This window comes from Homo sapiens, chromosome 22 (genome assembly GCF_000001405.40).
Source record: "Homo sapiens chromosome 22, GRCh38.p14 Primary Assembly".
Taxonomy (NCBI): domain Eukaryota; kingdom Metazoa; phylum Chordata; class Mammalia; order Primates; family Hominidae; genus Homo; species Homo sapiens.
In genome coordinates, this window is record NC_000022.11 from 22,899,915 (window position 1) to 22,919,971 (window position 20,057).

General features: G+C 53.8%; 3 pseudogenes, 6 gene segments (V, D, J or C) and 1 further gene, besides 9 other annotated features; all 10 read left to right on the forward strand.

Annotated features, from left to right (window-relative positions):
• IGL (immunoglobulin lambda locus) overlaps window positions 1-20,057 on the forward strand; it is an 896,838-nt gene that overhangs the window by 873,839 nt on the left and 2,942 nt on the right.
• Window positions 753-802: an enhancer, noted in NCBI's record as "active region_18727". NCBI's record gives its function as "activates an Ori minimal core promoter by ATAC-STARR-seq in GM12878 lymphoblastoid cells {active_cell/tissue: GM12878}" and the evidence as "EXISTENCE:reporter gene assay evidence [ECO:0000049][PMID:35858748]".
• Window positions 843-902: an enhancer, noted in NCBI's record as "active region_18728". NCBI's record gives its function as "activates an Ori minimal core promoter by ATAC-STARR-seq in GM12878 lymphoblastoid cells {active_cell/tissue: GM12878}" and the evidence as "EXISTENCE:reporter gene assay evidence [ECO:0000049][PMID:35858748]".
• On the forward strand, window positions 1,062-1,381 carry IGLC2 (immunoglobulin lambda constant 2). The segment is given in 1 exon segment: window positions 1,062-1,381. A coding segment is annotated over 1 exon segment (320 nt).
• Window positions 1,153-1,242: an enhancer, noted in NCBI's record as "active region_18729". NCBI's record gives its function as "activates an Ori minimal core promoter by ATAC-STARR-seq in GM12878 lymphoblastoid cells {active_cell/tissue: GM12878}" and the evidence as "EXISTENCE:reporter gene assay evidence [ECO:0000049][PMID:35858748]".
• Window positions 2,403-2,502: an enhancer, noted in NCBI's record as "active region_18730". NCBI's record gives its function as "activates an Ori minimal core promoter by ATAC-STARR-seq in GM12878 lymphoblastoid cells {active_cell/tissue: GM12878}" and the evidence as "EXISTENCE:reporter gene assay evidence [ECO:0000049][PMID:35858748]".
• Window positions 5,074-5,111, forward strand: IGLJ3 (immunoglobulin lambda joining 3). The segment is given in 1 exon segment: window positions 5,074-5,111. A coding segment is annotated over 1 exon segment (38 nt).
• IGLC3 (immunoglobulin lambda constant 3 (Kern-Oz+ marker)) lies at window positions 6,428-6,747 on the forward strand. The segment is given in 1 exon segment: window positions 6,428-6,747. A coding segment is annotated over 1 exon segment (320 nt).
• Window positions 7,130-7,179: a silencer, noted in NCBI's record as "silent region_13527". NCBI's record gives its function as "represses an Ori minimal core promoter by ATAC-STARR-seq in GM12878 lymphoblastoid cells {active_cell/tissue: GM12878}" and the evidence as "EXISTENCE:reporter gene assay evidence [ECO:0000049][PMID:35858748]".
• Window positions 7,730-7,789: an enhancer, noted in NCBI's record as "active region_18731". NCBI's record gives its function as "activates an Ori minimal core promoter by ATAC-STARR-seq in GM12878 lymphoblastoid cells {active_cell/tissue: GM12878}" and the evidence as "EXISTENCE:reporter gene assay evidence [ECO:0000049][PMID:35858748]".
• Window positions 7,950-8,039: an enhancer, noted in NCBI's record as "active region_18732". NCBI's record gives its function as "activates an Ori minimal core promoter by ATAC-STARR-seq in GM12878 lymphoblastoid cells {active_cell/tissue: GM12878}" and the evidence as "EXISTENCE:reporter gene assay evidence [ECO:0000049][PMID:35858748]".
• Window positions 8,390-8,579: an enhancer, noted in NCBI's record as "active region_18733". NCBI's record gives its function as "activates an Ori minimal core promoter by ATAC-STARR-seq in GM12878 lymphoblastoid cells {active_cell/tissue: GM12878}" and the evidence as "EXISTENCE:reporter gene assay evidence [ECO:0000049][PMID:35858748]".
• On the forward strand, window positions 10,656-10,693 carry IGLJ4 (immunoglobulin lambda joining 4 (non-functional)). The segment is given in 1 exon segment: window positions 10,656-10,693. A coding segment is annotated over 1 exon segment (38 nt).
• On the forward strand, window positions 10,914-11,166 carry IGLC4 (immunoglobulin lambda constant 4 (pseudogene); annotated as a pseudogene). Its single transcript is given in 1 exon segment — window positions 10,914-11,166. A coding segment is annotated over 1 exon segment (253 nt).
• Window positions 13,173-13,343: a silencer, noted in NCBI's record as "fragment chr22:23255258-23255428 (GRCh37/hg19 assembly coordinates)". NCBI's record gives its function as "represses an EF-1alpha promoter that drives an FKBP-Casp9 reporter gene in an ReSE screen in phorbol 12-myristate 13-acetate-treated (for megakaryocytic differentiation) K562 erythroleukemia cells {active_cell/tissue: K562(+PMA)}" and the evidence as "EXISTENCE:reporter gene assay evidence [ECO:0000049][PMID:32094911]".
• Window positions 14,358-14,395, forward strand: IGLJ5 (immunoglobulin lambda joining 5 (non-functional)). The segment is given in 1 exon segment: window positions 14,358-14,395. A coding segment is annotated over 1 exon segment (38 nt).
• On the forward strand, window positions 15,710-16,018 carry IGLC5 (immunoglobulin lambda constant 5 (pseudogene); annotated as a pseudogene). Its single transcript is given in 1 exon segment — window positions 15,710-16,018. A coding segment is annotated over 1 exon segment (309 nt).
• On the forward strand, window positions 18,250-18,287 carry IGLJ6 (immunoglobulin lambda joining 6). The segment is given in 1 exon segment: window positions 18,250-18,287. A coding segment is annotated over 1 exon segment (38 nt).
• On the forward strand, window positions 19,621-19,944 carry IGLC6 (immunoglobulin lambda constant 6; annotated as a pseudogene). The gene is given in 1 exon segment: window positions 19,621-19,944. A coding segment is annotated over 1 exon segment (324 nt).

Consider the following 20,057-nt stretch of genomic DNA (forward strand, 5'->3'; position numbering starts at 1 on the left):
TTTGTCTCTCTGTCTCTCTGTTTGTCTCTCTGACTGTCTGACAGGCGCAGGCTGGGTCTCTAAGCCTTGTTCTGTTCTGGCCTCCTCAGTCTGGGTTCTTGTCGGAACAGCTTTGTCCTTGGGTTACCTGGGTTCCATCTCCTGGGGAATTGGGAACAAGGGGTCTGAGGGAGGCACCTCCTGGGAGACTTTAGAAGGACCCAGTGCCCTCGGGGCTGATGCTCGGGAATCACAGAGCTGGGACCCAGAGCCAGGATCCAGACCCAGAATGAGGTAGGAGGTGGAGGGGCTGCCCTGGGCGTCTGGGGGCTGCCAGGGACTGAGCCCTGAGCCAGCCTGAGACTCAGGAAACCCCGTCAGGAGGGAGAAGGGAGAAGCAGACTCTGGACACCAGAAAGCCAGGGGAAGGGTCACAAAAGGAGTGGATGTGACGGAAGGGCGGGCTCCTGGGTCTCTTCAGAACATATCCCCTGTGCCCAGGGGGATCAGAGGGGCAGAGTCCACTGCGTGAAAGCCCCACTGCTATGACCAGGTAGCCGGGACGTGGGGTGGATGCCAGAAAAGACTCCACGGAATAAGAGAGAGCCCAGGACAGCAGGCAGGCTCTCCGATCCCCCCAGGCCCTTGCCCCATACACGGGCTCCAGAACACACATTTGGCTGGAACAGCCTGAGGGACCAAAAGGCCCCAGTATCCCACAGAGCTGAGGAGCCAGGCCAGAAAAGTAACCCCAGAGTTCGCTGTGCAGGGGAGACACAGAGCTCTCTTTATCTGTCAGGATGGCAGGAGGGGACAGGGTCAGGGCGCTGAGGGTCAGATGTCGGTGTTGGGGGCCAAGGCCCCGAGAGATCTCAGGACAGGTGGTCAGGTGTCTAAGGTAAAACAGCTCCCCGTGCAGATCAGGGCATAGTGGAAAACACCCTGACCCCTCTGCCTGGCATAGACCTTCAGACACAGAGCCCCTGAACAAGGGCACCCCAACACCTCATCATATACTGAGGTCAGGGGCTCCCCAGGTGGACACCAGGACTCTGACCCCCTGCCCCTCATCCACCCCGCAGGTCAGCCCAAGGCTGCCCCCTCGGTCACTCTGTTCCCGCCCTCCTCTGAGGAGCTTCAAGCCAACAAGGCCACACTGGTGTGTCTCATAAGTGACTTCTACCCGGGAGCCGTGACAGTGGCCTGGAAGGCAGATAGCAGCCCCGTCAAGGCGGGAGTGGAGACCACCACACCCTCCAAACAAAGCAACAACAAGTACGCGGCCAGCAGCTATCTGAGCCTGACGCCTGAGCAGTGGAAGTCCCACAGAAGCTACAGCTGCCAGGTCACGCATGAAGGGAGCACCGTGGAGAAGACAGTGGCCCCTACAGAATGTTCATAGGTTCTCAACCCTCACCCCCCACCACGGGAGACTAGAGCTGCAGGATCCCAGGGGAGGGGTCTCTCCTCCCACCCCAAGGCATCAAGCCCTTCTCCCTGCACTCAATAAACCCTCAATAAATATTCTCATTGTCAATCAGAAATCTTGTTTTATCTCATTTTTTCTTTTCTCACATATAATTCCTAGCCTTTCCTGGGTTCTCAATTTGTGGTGGAAAGAACCCTGAACCCAGTGGGAAAGTTGCCTATGTGAAGGGGTTCTCAGTTCCCTGGGCATCTCTGCAGGTAAGGCCTTCCTCACCCAGACACCCCTTCCTCAGCTCTCCACTGTACCCCTGAGCCACCAGCCTCGCCTGGCTGGGACCAGGGGGGTGTCACACTCTCCTAGATTCTGCCTTTCAACAGAAACCTAACCACGCATCACACGGCACTTCTCGCATGCCTTCTGTGTCTGCTCCAGTCTCTGGGCTAAAGAGTTGCTGGTCCGGGACAGGGGATAGGTCCGCTCTTGGTCAGATGCCAGGTCCCTGCCATGGCATCCCTGACCCTATGCAACAAGCCAGTGACTCTGGTGAGCTCTCTGTGTCAGGAGAATCCATGATCCAGAGTTTCATATTGTCCTGCAAGCATCTGGTGGGCTGTAGCTCTTGCCAAACTGGGAAATACCATGGCCCAGCATCAGGATGCAGGACAGTCCGGAGAGGGAAATCAGGAGAAGTGAAGGGGTCTCTGGGGAGCCCAGATGTGGGCTAGAGGCAGAAGTAAGGGTGAAGAGCACCTATGAGTCAATGTCATGGTCTCAGCAGGAACACAGTTGAAAATCCCCATTCCACACAAGACCGTTTAGCAGGAAAGGAGTCCATACTTGTGCTGCCACCAGGATGTCCTGAGAAGCCTTGGAGAATGAAACATACAGGTGCATTTCCTAGACTTGACAATGCACGTTAGCCAAGTAAAGGCAATGAAAAGTTCTCTACTAGGGAAATAATTTCCTGTGGTAAAGCTTAGCTTATGTAAAGTCACATTTATCCATCTGGCACCTCTAAAAGCCCCATAATATTCTGCAAGATACTAGTATGTCATGGAAGTAGTTTATGAAACATAAAGTGAGATTTAAGAACAAAGATGTTACGGGTGTATGATAAGATGGCTACAGGCTCAGGGTCAGGCTCGAGGAGTGAAGGAGGCCGTGTCAAATTCATGACAAGAGTTGGAGCTGGGCCAGGCTGGGTCAGGGCTGTGTGAATGCAGACAGAGGGCTACAGGCAAGGTCAGGCATCCATGAACACTCAGCTCCCCCAGACCCTCCTGCCCACTGGGACCTTCGCCCTCCCTTGGTCACAGTGGTGGAGCCTTCCTACCCAAACCTCTATGGAGGCCCTGGATGACTGTGCGTTCTTAGTGCCCACGCAAACTTAGACTCCCTGTCTCTGCCTCCAGCACATCAGGAATGTGGCAGCTGAGTTCACCAGAGCTGCTGGGTGGTCCCGACAGGCCAGGGACAGAGCCCGCAAAGACAGGAAGCTCTGCAGTCACAATGAGGCAGAGAAATGGCCCCTTGGTGCTTGATCACAGCCACCCCTGATCCAAATCCCAGCCTCTGAATTAGAAGAAGGCTAAAAGGTTCTAGTGGCCACAGTCCCTGTCTAAGCCCATTTCACAAATGAGAAAACTAAGACCACCCAAGGAGGGCCAGTTACGTAGGCCTGCTGGGTACAAGGCCAAGGTCTACTTCACACCCAGCAGCTGTCCAAAGACTGAGCTGTGTCATAAGTTTATATTATGAAGAACTCTGAACATATAAATAAGGAGACAGAAAAATAACAGTGTCCCATGTTCTCATCACCCAGCACTCAAAATAAGCAATTCACAGATGATGCCGACCCACCCACAGCAAAATAAATTCTCCCTTACACAACATTTAGAAAGAAATACAAGACATCAGATCTGTTCAGCTGTAAGTACTCCATTACTGTCCTGGAATGACATGGACCTTAAAATAACTATAATATCACTACCAAACCTAAATAGAAATTATCACTAATTCCCTAATATCGAGAAATAAGCAGGGTCTCCTCAAATGCATCAGAAACACCAGAAGTGCTTTGGCTTAGTTACATGTTGGTGCTGTTGGTATTTGGGGGTTTAAGTTTATATGAGGAGCAATATGACATCAAATGGTGATGGGTGCATGTGCCATCAGGCTGGTTGTCACTGGTGAATATTTCCTCAATTGCTCTAGAGCCTCCCGGCAAGGCAGGAGCTGCAGGAGCTGAGAGCTGTCTGGAGAACTTCCCCTGGCTGCTATACAGCCACGCCTCCTGGAGCAGGAACCTAGGGCTTCCCTCAGCTTTTATTTTCCTGGAAAATGATTCTAGCATGAAGGGGATTAACTTGATTCAGATTGGACATTGCAAAATAGCTTGCAAGGACAGGGAGCTGCTACCAGCAGAGTCACCCATGTCAGACTGCCACTCTTGTAGTAATGTTAGCTGCATAGGATGGTCAATAGCTACATCCCTCAGAAGGGAAGGAAGGCAGAGGGTTGAGGCTTCAGTTCACCTCCTTCTCATGAGTGCTGCAGAGTGTCTGTGATGTCAGAGGTCTGCAGCTGGGCTCTGTTCACCCAGGAGTGTGCTTCATGCTCTAGGAAGGAGCCACTTTGCACACAGAAGATCCGGGGCCCAGCCATCCTTCCAGGGTGAACAATTCATGTCTTCTCTCATGGTGAACTCTAGGATTCAAGCCATCTAATGCTTTTGAAGCCACTGTCATTATATTTAATTGATGATGACAGGTGGCCACCAATGATGAATATTTTCCCAGGGGGAGTCTCCCCAAGTGGCTTCAGACTTCCTCACATGGCCCCAGGGGATTAAATGGCTCCTGATTACTCAGAGGATAAGAGGTTCTGTCTTATCATGTTCCTTTCTTATTTGTCTTATGTGTCTTTCCTGCCCCAGGCCTGGGATCCCCCACTGATCTCCCTTCCCTTAGTGAGAGGTGATATTTGGAGACCACATTCTGGAGGCTCCCTCATGTCCCCCATTTGAAAAAGACAACGGCAGCTACCACCCTAGCTGTCCCACCAAACATGAGGCCAGATTCAGGGGTGCAGGGATGCTCCCAAGGTTACCCTAACAGATGTGACTGGCATTTCATATTGGGACCAGCCAGGCCTCACTGACCAGGCCTATCCAACTAGAACTACTCCAGAAGGTGGGGCTGAAACCCACCAAGGTTCCCAGAACACTGCACTCTAGGGCAATCAGCCTCTGCATGGGAGGAAAGGAGCACCCTCTGCACCACCCCATGGTGTTACCAAAAGTTGAACCATGGGTTGGTTCAACTTTGCAGAGAAGAGACCACCTATCCCATCTGTGGAAATTCACTCCTTAGCGACACTAATGCCCTCTAATAAATTCAATCCTGGGCCTGAGTGATGGTTGGTGCAAAAAACAAATTCAAGATCCCAGTGTCCTCCAGAAGCCTGGATTTCCAGGGATCCTGCTGTGGGTCACAGGATGTCACCGGTCCCCTCTCTCTGTGGGTTGAGTGTGGGGGCCATGTGGACTCCCTCATGAGCAGATGCCACCAGGACCACTGGTCCCAGCTTCCTCCTTCACAGCTGCAGTGGGGGCTGGGGCTAGGGGCATCCCAGGGAGGGTTTTTGTATGAGCCTGTGTCACAGTGTTGGGTGTTCGGCGGAGGGACCAAGCTGACCGTCCTAGGTGAGTCTCTTCTCCCCTCTCCTTCCCCGCTCTTGGGACAATTTCTGCTGTTTTTGTTTGTTTCTGTATCTTGTCTCAACTTGTGGTCAGCCTTTCTCCCTGCATCCCAGGCCTGAGCAAGGACCTCTGCCCTCCCTGTTCAGACCCTTGCTTGCCTCAGCAGGTCATTACAACCACTTCACCTCTGACCGCAGGGGCAGGGGACTAGATAGAATGACCTACTGAGCCTCGTCTGTCTGTCTGTCTGTCTCTCTGTCTGTCTGTCTGTCTCTCTGTTTGTCTCTCTGTCTGTCTGACAGGCGCAGGCTGGGTCTCTAAGCCTTGTTCTGTTCTGGCCTCCTCAGTCTGGGTTCTTGTCGGAACAGCTTTGCCCTTGGGTTACCTGGGTTCCATCTCCTGGGGAATTGGGAACAAGGGGTCTGAGGGAGGCACCTCCTGGGAGACTTTAGAAGGACCCAGTGCCCTCGGGGCTGATGCTCGGGAATCACAGAGCTGGGACCCAGAGCCAGGATCCAGACCCAGAATGAGGTAGGAGGTGGAGGGGCTGCCCTGGGCGTCTGGGGGCTGCCAGGGACTGAGCCCTGAGCCAGCCTGAGACTCAGGAAACCCCGTCAGGAGGGAGAAGGGAGAAGCAGACTCTGGACACCAGAAAGCCAGGGGAAGGGTCACAAAAGGAGTGGATGTGACGGAAGGGCGGGCTCCTGGGTCTCTTCAGAACATATCCCCTGTGCCCAGGGGGATCAGAGGGGCAGAGTCCACTGCGTGAAAGCCCCACTGCTATGACCAGGTAGCCGGGACGTGGGGTGGATGCCAGAAAAGACTCCACGGAATAAGAGAGAGCCCAGGACAGCAGGCAGGCTCTCCGATCCCCCCAGGCCCTTGCCCCATACACGGGCTCCAGAACACACATTTGGCTGGAACAGCCTGAGGGACCAAAAGGCCCCAGTATCCCACAGAGCTGAGGAGCCAGGCCAGAAAAGTAACCCCAGAGTTCGCTGTGCAGGAGAGACACAGAGCTCTCTTTATCTGTCAGGATGGCAGGAGGGGACAGGGTCAGGGCACTGAGGGTCAGATGTCGGTGTGGGGGGCCAAGGCCCCGAGAGATCTCAGGACAGGTGGTCAGGTGTCTAAGGTAAAACAGCTCCCCGTGCAGATCAGGACATAGTGGAAAACACCCTGACCCCTCTGCCTGGCATAGACCTTCAGACACAGAGCCCCTGAACAAGGGCACCCCAACACCTCATCATATACTGAGGTCAGGGGCTCCCCAGGTGGACACCAGGACTCTGACCCCCTGCCCCTCATCCACCCCGCAGGTCAGCCCAAGGCTGCCCCCTCGGTCACTCTGTTCCCACCCTCCTCTGAGGAGCTTCAAGCCAACAAGGCCACACTGGTGTGTCTCATAAGTGACTTCTACCCGGGAGCCGTGACAGTGGCCTGGAAGGCAGATAGCAGCCCCGTCAAGGCGGGAGTGGAGACCACCACACCCTCCAAACAAAGCAACAACAAGTACGCGGCCAGCAGCTACCTGAGCCTGACGCCTGAGCAGTGGAAGTCCCACAAAAGCTACAGCTGCCAGGTCACGCATGAAGGGAGCACCGTGGAGAAGACAGTGGCCCCTACAGAATGTTCATAGGTTCTCATCCCTCACCCCCCACCACGGGAGACTAGAGCTGCAGGATCCCAGGGGAGGGGTCTCTCCTCCCACCCCAAGGCATCAAGCCCTTCTCCCTGCACTCAATAAACCCTCAATAAATATTCTCATTGTCAATCAGAAATCTTGTTTTATCTCATTTTTTCTTTTCTCACATATAATTCCTAGCCTTCCCTGGGTTCTCAATTTACGGTGGAGGGAATTCTGCACCCAGTGGGAAAGTCACCCAAGGGAGGAGGCTTACAGCCTCCCCGAGTCATCTCTCTGGAAGGTCCTTCCTCTTCCAGTCACCCCTTCCCCAACTCTCCACCATACCCCTGAGCCTCCAGCCTGGCCTCAGCTCAGACCAGTCCCACACCCTCCTCAATTTTACTTCTCAATAAAGACCTGATCATGTAAAACCCAGTTTCCAATGTGTCGTCTGTGTCTGGTCATGTGCCTGTGCTGAAGGGTCACTGCTCTGGGACAGGAGGCAGTTTCAGGTGAGATCCCATGTCCCCGTCATCCCACACCCCACCCAACCTGCCAGGAAACCGGGTGGGCTCCCTGTGCCAGGGGGAACCATGTTCCAGAGCAGAAAGTTGTCCCTGCAGAGTGGTCCCTGAAATGCAGTTCTTGCCCACCTGGGAAGGATGTGGAGCCTAGTGAGGACAGAGTGGTGGCCCTGAGCAGGGCATCGGGGAGAAACGAGGAGTGTTCCAGGACCCCCTGCTTTGGGCTAGAGACAGAAAACCCTTGAGCCCAGGCCAAGATCAGAGCAGAAACAGGGTTGAACTTCCCTGTCCCATCCATGATACCCAGTTAGGAGACCATTTACTAGGTGCCATCACCTTACGTTACATTACAACATTACGTGATTGTGCCATCACCCGGGAGACATGAAAAAGGCTGGAAAATGGAACCCTTCAGTGTAGTTTACACTTTCACAATGTACGTTAGCTATGAAAGATGCTGACAAGTCCTGCAGTTGGAAAACAGTTCATGTTACATAACCTTGCAAGTCAAGAATTCTATTCAGTGTCCCAACCCACTTAGCCCTAGAGCGCTCTTCAAGACACTGGTGTTCATGTCACTAGTGCTGGGACATGGGCTGAGGCTGAGGCACACAGATGATTCGTTGTGATCAAATGGGTCAGGCTCAGGGTTAACACTGGCCAGGTCAGAAAGAGAGCATAGGGCTGAGATCTCAACCATGAAGAGTCTCGAATTCTAAAGTCAGGGGACGCAGTAGAGTTAGATTATGGTTATGGCTGGAGCCATGATGGCCAGCCTGTGTGAGGGTAGGACTCAGGTGGACTGGGTCAAATGAGAAAGGCACCATCCCAAGCATAGAATCGGCATCCATTGGTTGTCTGATGGAGGCTGTGTCAAAATCATACTCGCCCAAGAATCAGGGCCAGGTCACACTAGGTCAGGGCAGGGTAAGTGTGACTTAAGGGCTACAGGCAGGTCAAGTTTTCATGGGACTCAGCTACCTTAGACCCCTCCCCACCAGGGCCTACTCCCTCCCTCAATCATGTGGTTCAGCCCCTCCATGTGCACCTACACCCTGATGTCAGAGACACAATCATCCCAGGGTCCCTGACAGCGAGTGAGGTGGCCTTGGGAGATGCACTTCCCAGCCCTCCTCATCAGTCTTGGGCACTGTCAGGCCCCTTCTTGGTGCCTCCAGCACATCAGCGGTGTGGCAGGTGCCTTCACCAGAGCTGCTGGGTGGCCAGGCCAGGCCTGAGACAGAGCCTGCAAGGGCAGAGAACTCTAGGGCCATAGTGGGGCAGAGAAGGGGTTCCTCTTGGAGCCTAATCATAGAACCCCTGCCTCAAGTCACAACCTACAAGTTAGAAGGAAACTTAAGGGTCCTGATTCCCACCACCCTGTCTGGCCCCATTTCATAGATGTGAACGCTGAGACCCCTATAGCAAAGAGGACCGCTTTGATCTCCACCTTCTCAATGGCCCTGCTGGGTAGGATCCCCTCTGGATGTCCCCTGGTGCTGTCCCAAGACTAATCTCTCTAATTACTGCCTTGTAAGATATTACGGAAACTGACAGCAAGAAAATAAAAAAACAGGATAATACAGCTCATGTTGACCCACCCACAATCAAGTAACCTCTTTTACACAGTTGTTTGAAGCAAATTGTAGACATCATGTCCATTAGTCTAAATATTCCATTTGTGTCTCTAAAAATATGGACCCCCCCCAAAAAACTACATTCTTACAAACCTAAATATAAATATCTAATTCTTTCATATCAAAAAAAGAATGTTTCCCATCAAATACTTCACAAATATCCTATGCTTCTTTCACTAGACCTGTGTTTGTGTTGTTGTTATTCTGTGGTTTTCCATTTCATTTCTATGAGGATTCAATATGGTTTGAAATTGTGACTGGTGACTGTGTTTTTAGACCTGTTCTGTCTGCAGGTATCTTCCTCATTGATTTTTAATTTCCTTGCAAGGCAGGAGCTACAGGAGCTGGGGGTTGGTCCCAGGACCTTCCCATGGTCAGGATACAGCCTGTGGCCTCCCCAAGCTGGAAACAAGCGCTCCTCTCTGCTTCTGCGTTTCCTGAAAATTGGTTCTTGGCCAGAAAGGTTTAACAAGGCTCAGTGTGACTTTTCAGCAAGACCGCTTGGCTACTGGGCTCCCATGTGGGGTCATCTATTTGTGACGTTAGCTGGGCTTCACACTTTGTATCCAGTGCCATTAGATGGTATATGGATGCAAGGTGACTGCATTTCAGTTCGACCACCTTTTCCTTCTACTGACTGTCTGTAAAAGGTGTGCCCTCATATGTTCTTTGCTCCTCTGGGAGTGTGATTCTTATTTCAGTAAGAAATAGCATAGACATGTTGAGTCTTTCCTTTCATTTAGCATCTTAATAATGATGACCATGTTGCCTGCCATCTCGTGAAGATGAACAATTATTTCATGGTGAGCTCAAAGTTATGTTACTGTATGTGACTCACTTGAGTCCACCATGGTTCTATTTCATTGATGATGACAATGACCCACCGTGGCCCACTCAGTGCCTCTTCTGGTGGCCCCAGGATCCTCCTGAAGGAACCCAGGAGACCTCGATGGCTTTCCGCTCTCTGTTCACAATCTATCCTGGGCACATCTTTCTCCTGCCTTGTGCCTGGAATTGCCCATTAACCCCAAGTGGACTAGTCCCCATAACTGGGAGGTGGGATTTAGTGACCACACTTGGGGTGCTTCTCACACAGCCCTTTTGAGTCAGACACTCCAGACATACCCAGAAATGAGACAAGACCCTGAAAGGGTAACAGGGGCTTGCTTCCAACTTCTCCCTGGAGGTTGAGGCTGGCATTTCATACTAAAACCTAGTGAGACCCATCCCAAACTAAGACAACACAAGGAGGACGGAAGTGAGACGCCCTGGAGTTGTGGTTGTGGTCACGTTGGAGCTTCCCATGACTGCTGACTCTGGGGCAAGCTGCCCCTCCTCTAAGGCACTCACTGGGGACACCTGAGGACGCCTCCTGCTCTTACCCTGTAGTCACACCAAGAGATCAGGGTTACAACAACCCTATAGAGAATCCCTGTCCCCTTCCATGTCACTTCACTCCTTCGTGAAGCAAATGCCCTCAAGGAGCTCATTCCCATTCCTGGGTCACAGTCACCTGGAAAACCTGATCCAGACACCAACCTCCTCAGGCCTCGCCATTTCCAGACGTCCCGTTACTGCATACGCTTGGTCGACTGTCCCATCTCAGCTTGAGAAGGGCAGGCAGGTGTGTGGACTCTGCTGAGCAAATGCCTTCCAGGGGCAGTGGTCTGGCTTCCTGCACCATAGCTTCAGGTGGGGGATGGGGAGGGGGAGTTAGGGGCCCCAGGGAAGAGTTTTTGTATGAACCTGTGTCACCGCATTTTGTATTTGGTGGAGGAACCCAGCTGATCATTTTAGATGAGTCTCTTCTTCCCTTTCTTTCCCTGCCAAGTTGGTGACAATTTTATTCTGATTTCGATCTTTGTCTGTGACTTGCCACAGCCTGTGGTCAGGGTTTCCTTTGGGACCTCGGTCCTGGGAGGCTGATCTCTCTCCTCCCTATTCAGACCCCTGTATGCCTCAGCTGGTCACTGAGACACCTTCATCTCCTCTGACCCCAGAGGCAGGGAGCTCCAAGACAAGGCCACACTGGTGTGTCTCATGAGTGACTTCTACCCGAGAGCCATGACAGTGGCCTGGAAGATAGATGGCATCACCATCACCCAGGGTGTGGAGACCACCACACCCTCCAAACAGAGCAACAAGTATGCGGCCAGCAGCTACCTAAGACTGGCACCCGACAGTGGAAGTCCCACAACCTCTACAGCTGCCAGGTCACGCATGAAAGGAACACTGTGGAGAAGACAGTGGCCCCTGCAGAATGTTCTTAGGTCCCCGACCCTCACCTACCCACGGGGGCCTAGAGCTGCAGGATCAGGGCATGTGTCTCCCCTCCCACTCCAAGTCATCCAGCCCTTCTCCCTGCACCCAGTAACCCTCAATAAATATCCTCATTGTCAACCAGAAATCCTGCTGTCTGTCTTCATTTCTTATCTCATATTTAGTTTGCAACCTCCTTAAATTCTAAGCAAGGATGAGGAAAATCCAGGTGCCCAGTTTATCGGGTGAGAAGTCCATGGTGGTGCCATCACCAGGAACTTGTGGAAAGGTCTGGGAATGGAAACTCACAGGTGAATTTCACAGATTTTCACAATACAGGGTGGCTAAGTAAAGACACTTACAAGTCCTGCAATAGGGAAACAGGAAGTCCAGAATCCTGCTCACCATCCCAGCCAACTTAGTGAGCCCTAGGATGCTCTGCAAGATACTGGTGTTCACGTCGCTAGCTCTGGAAAGTGGGGTGAGGCTGGGGCACACGGGTGATCAGTTATGATCAGATGGGCTTAGGGTGAGGTTCAAAGTTAACCAGCACGTGGCTGAGATCTCAACCATGAAGTTCCCAATTCTAAAGTCAGGCTCTGGGGTGGAGTGAGTATGTGCTTGGTGTGTGGCTGAGCCTGTGATGGTCAGCTCGTGTGAGGGGAGGACTCCTGTGGACTGAGACAAATGAGCAAAGACACCATCCCAGGCACAGAACGGGCATCCCATGGTTGTCGGGGAGAGTCTGTGTCAGAGTCTCATTCTGGACTAGAGTCAAGGCTGGGTCACGCAAGGTCAGCACAGGGTGAACATGACCTAGGGGCTATCTATAGGCAAAGTCAGGCTTTCACGGGATCTCAACTGCCCCAAACACCCCCATCCCACCAGGCCCCACTCCCTCTGTCACTCACGTTGTTCCGTCCCCTCACCCCCTGCACCATGGTGCACCGGCAGCCTCACTCAGAGACACCCTCATCCCGGGGTCCCTGACAGTGGGCAATTTGGTCCCTTGAAGGCCTTGACAGGCTCGGTTAATCCATAGTGCCCGGGCTGGGACCCCCACTGTTTCTGGTTCATCAGGGACATGGCAGCAGCTGCTGGATGGCCAGCCAGGACAGGAACAGAGCTGCAAGGCCTGGGGGCTTTTTCCACAATGATACACAAAGAGAGGGGCCCCTTTGGAGCTCAGTCCCAGCCACCCCTGCCCCAAATCACAGCCGTGAGCTGAATTGAATTTCAGGTGCCCAGAGTCCCTCAGCCTCTGTTTGACCCATTTCACAGCTATGAAAATTCAAGCCCATGGGAGACACTGTCCCAAGCTTCACCCTCTCTATAAGTTGTACATTTTTATGATGAAGATCTCTGAACACAAAAATAGGGAGACAGAAGAATAGTAATGACTCCAAGGTTCCCATCAGCCAGTCCGCAGCATCATCCATTTTCAGATAATGCGGACCCACCCACAGCAGAATAACTAAACTACTCCTTCAAGCAAGGGTGTGAAGCAAATGCTAGTCATCACACACACAACTGGAGAGAATATCAAGGATTTCTTGACATCAAAAATAGTTAATGAGAGTCTTATCAAATGTCTTGTGAATATCATTGTGTCTATTTTTGTCGACTTTGTGGTGCTGTTGCATATTTGTGATTTAATTTCATTTCTATGTGGATTAATACTTGACGTTATCATTGGTGAATGTGTTTTTAGACCCATTCCATCTGCAGGTGTCTCCCAAATTGCTCTAGCTTTCCCTGGCAAGGCAGGAGCTGCAGGAGCAGAGAGCTGGTCCCGGGACCTCCCACAGTCGGGATGCAGGCGCCACCTCCCTGAGCAGGAACCCAGTGCTTCCCTCAACCTCTCTTTTCCTGAAAAATGGTTCTAGCATCAAGAGGCTCAAGGGGGTTCAGGCTGGACATTGGCAAACTCGCTTCCCAGGACACGTGGCTACTTCCAGCAAAGCCACCCATGTTGTGTTGTCATTCTTTCAGTGACATTAGCTGCATTTGATGATCAATAACTTCGCGCCTCAGATGAGAAGGAAGGCAGATGGTCAAGACTTCGGTCCACCTCCTTCTCATGAGGGCTTCCAGAAGGGAGGGCACAGCAGCTGCACCGTGCGCTCAGGAGTGTGCTTCATGCTTTGGGAAGAAGAAAAAATGTACATTCTTCCCTTTTGTTCACCACTTTGATAACTGATGATCTGGTGCCCAGCCATCCTCCAGGGCGCACAGCACAATGTAGTACCGGAGTGAGCTCTAGCGTGTGAGGACATCTGACATGTGGGCTCCACTGCAGATATACTGAATTGCAATGACAATGCGGCTACAAAACATAAACATTTACCCACTGGGCGCCTCCTCAGGTGGCATCTGATTTTCTCCCATTGCCCCAGGAGCTTCCATGGCTCCTGATTTCTCGGAGGATGAGAGGTTCTGTCTCATCATGTCCCTTTCCTGCCCCAGGCCTGGGATCCCGCACTGACCTCACCTCCCTTAGCAGAAGGTGATATTTGGAGACCACACTCGGGAGCTCCTTTATGTCCCTCACATTTGAATAAGGCAGTGGCAGCCACTACCCCACCTCACCCACCAAAATGAGACCAGGTTGAGGGGTGCAGGAGATCCTTCCATTTTACCCTGGAGGATGGGGCTGGCATTTCCAGTGGGGACCAGCCAGGCCTCACTGGCCAGGCCCATCCCAACTAGGACAAGCCCAGGGAAGGCTGGGCTGAGGCTCCTGGAGTCACAGATAGGTTCATGGGAAGCTTCCCAAGACACCGCACTCTAGGGTAACCAGCTTCTTCCTGGAGGGAGAGGGCACTCTCTGCATCACCCCAGGGCGTCACCAAGCAGTCAGTGTCGAGTCAGCTCCACCAGGGAGACCATTTATCCCTGACCATGGGAGTTCACTCCTAGTGACACAGTGCCCTCCAATAAACTCATCCCCATGGCTGCATGATGGTTGGTGGGAAAACCAAATCCACTGTCCTCCAGGAACCAGGATTTCTAGGGATCCTGCTGGTCACAGGATGTCAGCTGTCCCCTTCTCTCTGTGGGGGTGAGTGTGGCAGCCGTGTGAACTCCCTCATGAGCAGATGCCACCAGGGGCTGTGGCCTCAGCTTCCTCCATCACAGCTGCAGCGGGGGTTGGGGGTAGAGGCGTCCAGAGAGGGTTTTTGTATGAGCCTGTGTCACAGCACTGGGTGTTTGGTGAGGGGACCGAGCTGACCGTCCTAGATGAGTCTTTTCCCCCTCCTTCCCTGGTCTCCCCAAGGTACTGGGAAATTTTCTGCTGCTTTTGTTCTTTTCTGTATCTTGTGTTGACCTGTGGTGATGCTTTCTCTCTGGAGCCTAGGCCCTGGTCAAGGACCTCTCCCCTCCCTGTTTAGACCCTTACCTCAGTGGGTCACCAAGACCCCTTCACCTCTGACCTCAGATGTAGGGCACTAGACTGGATGACCTACTGAGACTCATCTGTCTGTCTGTCTGCCAGAGCCAGGCTGCTTCCCTAAAACTTGCTCAGTTCTGTCCTCCCCCACCTGGGCTTCTGTCTAACGAACTTTGTGCAAGGGAAACTGAGGCCCCATCTCATGAGGGAGAGGGAACAAGGGGCTCGAAGGAGTGACCACCTGGTGGACTTTAGAAGGACCTGAAACCCTCAGAGCCAAGATAGGGGAATGAAAACTCAGAGTCTCAGGGCCCAGTCCCCTGGACTGTGGGACTCTGGATCCAGGCTGGGAACAAGGTAGGAGGTGCAGGGGCCTCTCCAGGTTTCTGTGGGCTCCCAGGGAGAGAGCCCTGAGCTGGCCTGGGACCCATGAAGCCCTGTCAGGAGGGACGGGAAGGCTCTGGACATGAAGGAGCCAGGTGAAGTGTCACGAAAGGCCATGGCATTCAGGGAGGTGGCTGATGGGTCTCTGTGGGAGGCACCCCTAGAAGCAGGAACCCCTGAGTTCACCGACAGGCATATCCCAAGGCAGAAAAACTGTAGATTGGCCCTAAACACAGAGAGACTCTAACACAGACTCCACAGACAAAGAGCCCAGGACAGACAGACAGTGGGACTTGGGTGAGCAAAGGCCCTGACTCCACTGCAGAAGATCCAGGAGAGACGGATGTGGGTACAAACAAGAGCTCTTACGTGAGAGACCCACTCTCCCCCAACCCAGAGCAGCTGTGTCAGGTGAGAAAAGTTTCCAGAGTGAATCTAACAAGAGGCTCACAGAGCTCAGAGAACACAGCCAGAGCCGGATCACGTCAGGATGACAGGGTGAGGCAGCGCCAGGCAATTGAAGGTCCACTGTCTATACAAAAGCCCAAGTCCTTGGAAGATTTCCAAACAGGCGATGGGCAGGGGCCAAGCTCAGAGGTTTTCTGACTGACAGAGTTCTTTTAGGAACATGATGTCACACCCTTCTGAGACAGTGTGGACCACATCTGAGAGGTCCTGCACTGGTACTGGGGGGCCTGAACACTCCTCATGCACTGAGGTCAGGGGCTCCCCAGGTGGACACCAGGACTCTGACCTCCTGCCCCTCATCCATTCTGCAGGTCCGCTCAAGGCCACCCCCTTGGTCACTCTGTTCCCGCCCTCCTCTGAGGAGCTCCAAGCCAACAAGGCCATGCTGGTGTGTCTCATAAATGACTTCTACCCAGGAGCCATAGAAGGAAAATGGCACCCTAGTCACCAAGGGCATAGAGACAACCACACCCTCCACACAGAGCAACAACAACTATGCGGCCAGCAGCTACCTGAGCCTGACGCCCGAGCAGTGGAAGTCCCACAGAAGCTACAGCTGCCAGGTCACGCACAAAGAAAGTACCATGGAGAAGACAATGGCCCATGCAGAATGTTCTTAGGCCCCCGACCCTCACCCCACCCACAGGGGCCTGGAGCTGCAGGATCCCAGGGCAGAGGTGTTCCCTCCCACCCCAAGTCATCCAGTCCTTCTGCCGACACCCAATAAACCCTCAATAAATGTCCTCCTTGTCAATCAGAAAACATGCTGTCTGCTCATTTTTGTTTATCCACTTTCCATCCTAAATTTTTTTATCTCCAAAGATCAACAGAATCCTTTGGACTTGTGACAATGCAGCCTGGGACCATCTTCGTGTTTCTCTGAGCCATACTTTTTCCATCACCTTATCCCCATAGAATGTTCCAGAACAAGGAAATAGTCTTCAGAAGGAACCAGACATCTTCATTCTTACCCACGTCTCTGTTGTGCTTCCTGCTGCCCTGTGAGCACGTCCACCTCTGGCTGCCCGGGGACACACCCTCCTTACATCCCTATGGCCCCGGGAGAACATCTCAGCTCCCTTCTTTGTTGTCCTCGGCCCTCACTGTCCAGATGCCATCCCTCTCTCAAGGTGTTTGTCCATCCCCCTCCAAGGCCATGTGGTCACCCCACCTGTATTTCCCCTCATCAAAGCCTAGAGCATCTCCCCTTCTCCATGGGCACACTCTGTTCCCGTCATCCCAGGGACCCTGCCCTCAGCCCCCACAGGCCCTCCCTATAATAATCACTGATGGGATGCTTACCCCCTGGACCCTGGTCACTCACCCCACATCCCCCTCTGGGTGCCTCTCATCCCACATGTGTCACCGGATGCCCCAGCTGTATTCAACATTCCTAGGGGACAAGGGTCGGCTCTGCTCCTCACTGACACCATTATGAATGCCTAATGTCCTGCTGTGCACAAGTTGTCAATTGACTGGTGAGTTCAAAGTCAGATTCTGGGGTTATGCCAGGAGCTTGGGTGACGCTGATTCTTCTTCTGAAGAACTCAGCATGGGATCTGAGCTATAATACACACACACGTGTACACACACACAATGCACATAAACACACATGTCCATGCTGGGCATCCTTCTGGGAGGATCAGGAAGGTAGAAGGGGCTGCAGTCAGGCCCAGGTCAGGACATGAGCAAAGCAAAGCTGAGACCTGCTGTCTCCAGGCTTTGGGACTAGGGGGTCGCCCCTGGATATGGGAGGGTGGGGCAGGGTTTTCTGTCCAGGCCAAGAGGGAGACAGGAGAAGATGTGGACGGGATTCTGATCAGGGAGCAGCAGGCCACATCTCAGCAGTCAGGGGAGGCGCTTGCTGTGGGGAATACTGTTGGGGACTGCATGGTGCCAGGAGTGTGTCCCAGGTGTGAGCTCTTCAGGTGATGGGCCCAGACCAGGATGCAGGTCCAGGCTGTGTGTGTCCAGGCCCCACACTGCACATGCCCATCCACTGTGGGTGCCCCCCGTGCCGGTGACACTCCAGAGCACAGGCTGTGTGGGTCACCCGTGCATGTAGGGGACTGCAGAGCACACACATGTGGGTGTGTGTGTAAGCCGGGGGAGCTGAAGTGGACAGCAGAGATCCCCCACACGTAGAGCTCCTGGAGGAAACCACACTGCCAGTGAGGCCTATGACCTCCCTTGAGAAGCTCTCCTCTGGGCCATTGCAGCTCTAATCCAGCACACATGGCCTATAGGTAGGAAGCTGTCCCCATGGGTTCAGGAGGCGGACTTGGGCAGTGATCTGTGAGCTGCTCCTTCAGGACAGCTGGGCCAAGGATGCTGGAGCTCAGACCTTGCAGTGGGGTCTGTGTCCCTGTGGTCAACGTCATTCTTCCCACAACCCCCAATTCCCATTCCAAGCCCATCCCATCATAACCTCCAGTGCTGAGGATGTGGGGGGCATCAAGGACCCTCCCCACCATTCCCAACTTCTCAAAGAGGTCCCAGCTGCACCATGTCAGTGGCGTCACCCAGCCGCTCACCTCCCCTTCCTCCCTGGCATTCCTGACACCAGCTGATCCAGGCCACCCAACTCCTCAGAAATGCAATTACCTGGGAGACAATTCCACACACAGACCTGTCAACCCTTCCCATGACTGAGGTGGATGAACCCCTAAGCCCCCAAGGAAGTGATATTCAGGTCAGTAGAAGGTGACCCCCTTCACCCCACCTATGGCTCACCCACCCATGAGAAAAGGGGGCTGGACCCTGGGCCTTGTGAGCAGCTGCAGGGGGTTGGGGGGGGGTGGCCTGGGTCGGGTGTATCAGGAGGGTTTGTGTGCAGGGTTATATCACAGTGTAATGTGTTCGGCAGTGGCACCAAGGTGACCGTCCTCGGTGAGTCCCCTTTTCTATTCTTTTGGGTCTAGGGTGAGATCTGGGGAGACTTTTCTGTCCTTTCTGTTCTCTCTAGGGTAGAGGTCTCAATCTCTCTGGGGTCTGCCACCATTGCCTTTTTTCCTGGCCCCAAATTCCTCCAGCCTGTCCCTTCTTAGGCACCTGGTGGGGCATGATGGGAAGATCCCAGTGACCTCTTAATGCTCCCTGCTCAGGCCTGAACCTGCCGCTGTCACTCAGGGGGCATTCTCCCCTGGGCTCTGGGATGTTCTGCTCCCTCGCACAGAGTCTCCAGTCCCCAAAGACCAGCAGAGCAGGGGCTCAGGCTGGGGCACCAGGGCCATGGGACAGGGGAAGGATGCTGGAAAAAGTTCAGCTTCCCAGGGTTCTGGGTCCCAACTATGGGGCTGCTTTAAACACCAAGAAGGGAGGCCTTTGACTGGGGACTTGGGGAAATGAAGGGGGACAAGGATGGAGGAAGAATGTCCTGTGAGGTGGCGCCAGGGTGCTGGGTCCCTCCTCCTCCCCCGGGACAGGCAGGCTGCCATGGACAGGGTGGTTCTCAGGACACTCAGTCCAAGGTTAGAGCCTCCCCATCCCACCCAAAAAGAGAGACCCCCAAAGCAGATGCTGAGGGAGGCACTCCTGGTGGGCGCAGGTGACAGGGACCTGTCAGGACAGACATTTGTCCTAGGACAGCCAGATCTCCCAACGACAGGGAGACCCCATAGAGCAGACACAGCGCCAGGCTCAGAACAGAAAATATACCTCACATGCAAGCCCTCCATCTCCTGGACTCCCAGGACCCGGCTCCCAGGACTGACATCCCCTCCCCACCAAGGGGCCTCTGTGGGAAAGTGGGGCAGAGACTGCAATGATGGTGCTGGGGGATATGTGAGGAAGAAATTCACTTGTCAAAAGGGAGGAGAACCTAAAAACAGGACACAGATGCCCTCGTGAACAGACCCAGAGGAGGGACCTGGCAGGGGATGTTCAGACAGAGACGTCCCCCAAGGAAAGACGAGGGCCCAGGGCTGAACCCAGCCAGCGTCGGGGAGCATAGGTGAGGTGAGAGCTGGCTGATAAGGAGGGGAGAATCTGGAGAGGAGGCTGGAGCAGAAGAGGCCTGATTCTCCTCAGTCCTCAGATGCTGAGGAGTTTCCCATCAGGAGGTAAGCATCCCCGCCACCGCCAAGTTGACCTCAGTACAGCAAGGGCCCAGCCTGAGGTCCCTATCCTGGGCCTTAGTCCTTCACCCACCTGAAAACTGAGGCCAGGGGCTCCCCAGGTGGACACCAGGACTCTGACCCCCTGCCCCTCATCCACCCCGCAGGTCAGCCCAAGGCTGCCCCATCGGTCACTCTGTTCCCGCCCTCCTCTGAGGAGCTTCAAGCCAACAAGGCCACACTGGTGTGCCTGATCAGTGACTTCTACCCGGGAGCTGTGAAAGTGGCCTGGAAGGCAGATGGCAGCCCCGTCAACACGGGAGTGGAGACCACCACACCCTCCAAACAGAGCAACAACAAGTACGCGGCCAGCAGCTAGCTACCTGAGCCTGACGCCTGAGCAGTGGAAGTCCCACAGAAGCTACAGTTGCCAGGTCACGCATGAAGGGAGCACCGTGGAGAAGACAGTGGCCCCTGCAGAATGCTCTTAGGCCCCCGACCCTCACCCCACCCACAGGGGCCTGGAGCTGCAGGTTCCCAGGGGAGGGGGTCTCTCTCCCCATCCCAAGTCATCCAGCCCTTCTTCCTACACTCAATAAACCCT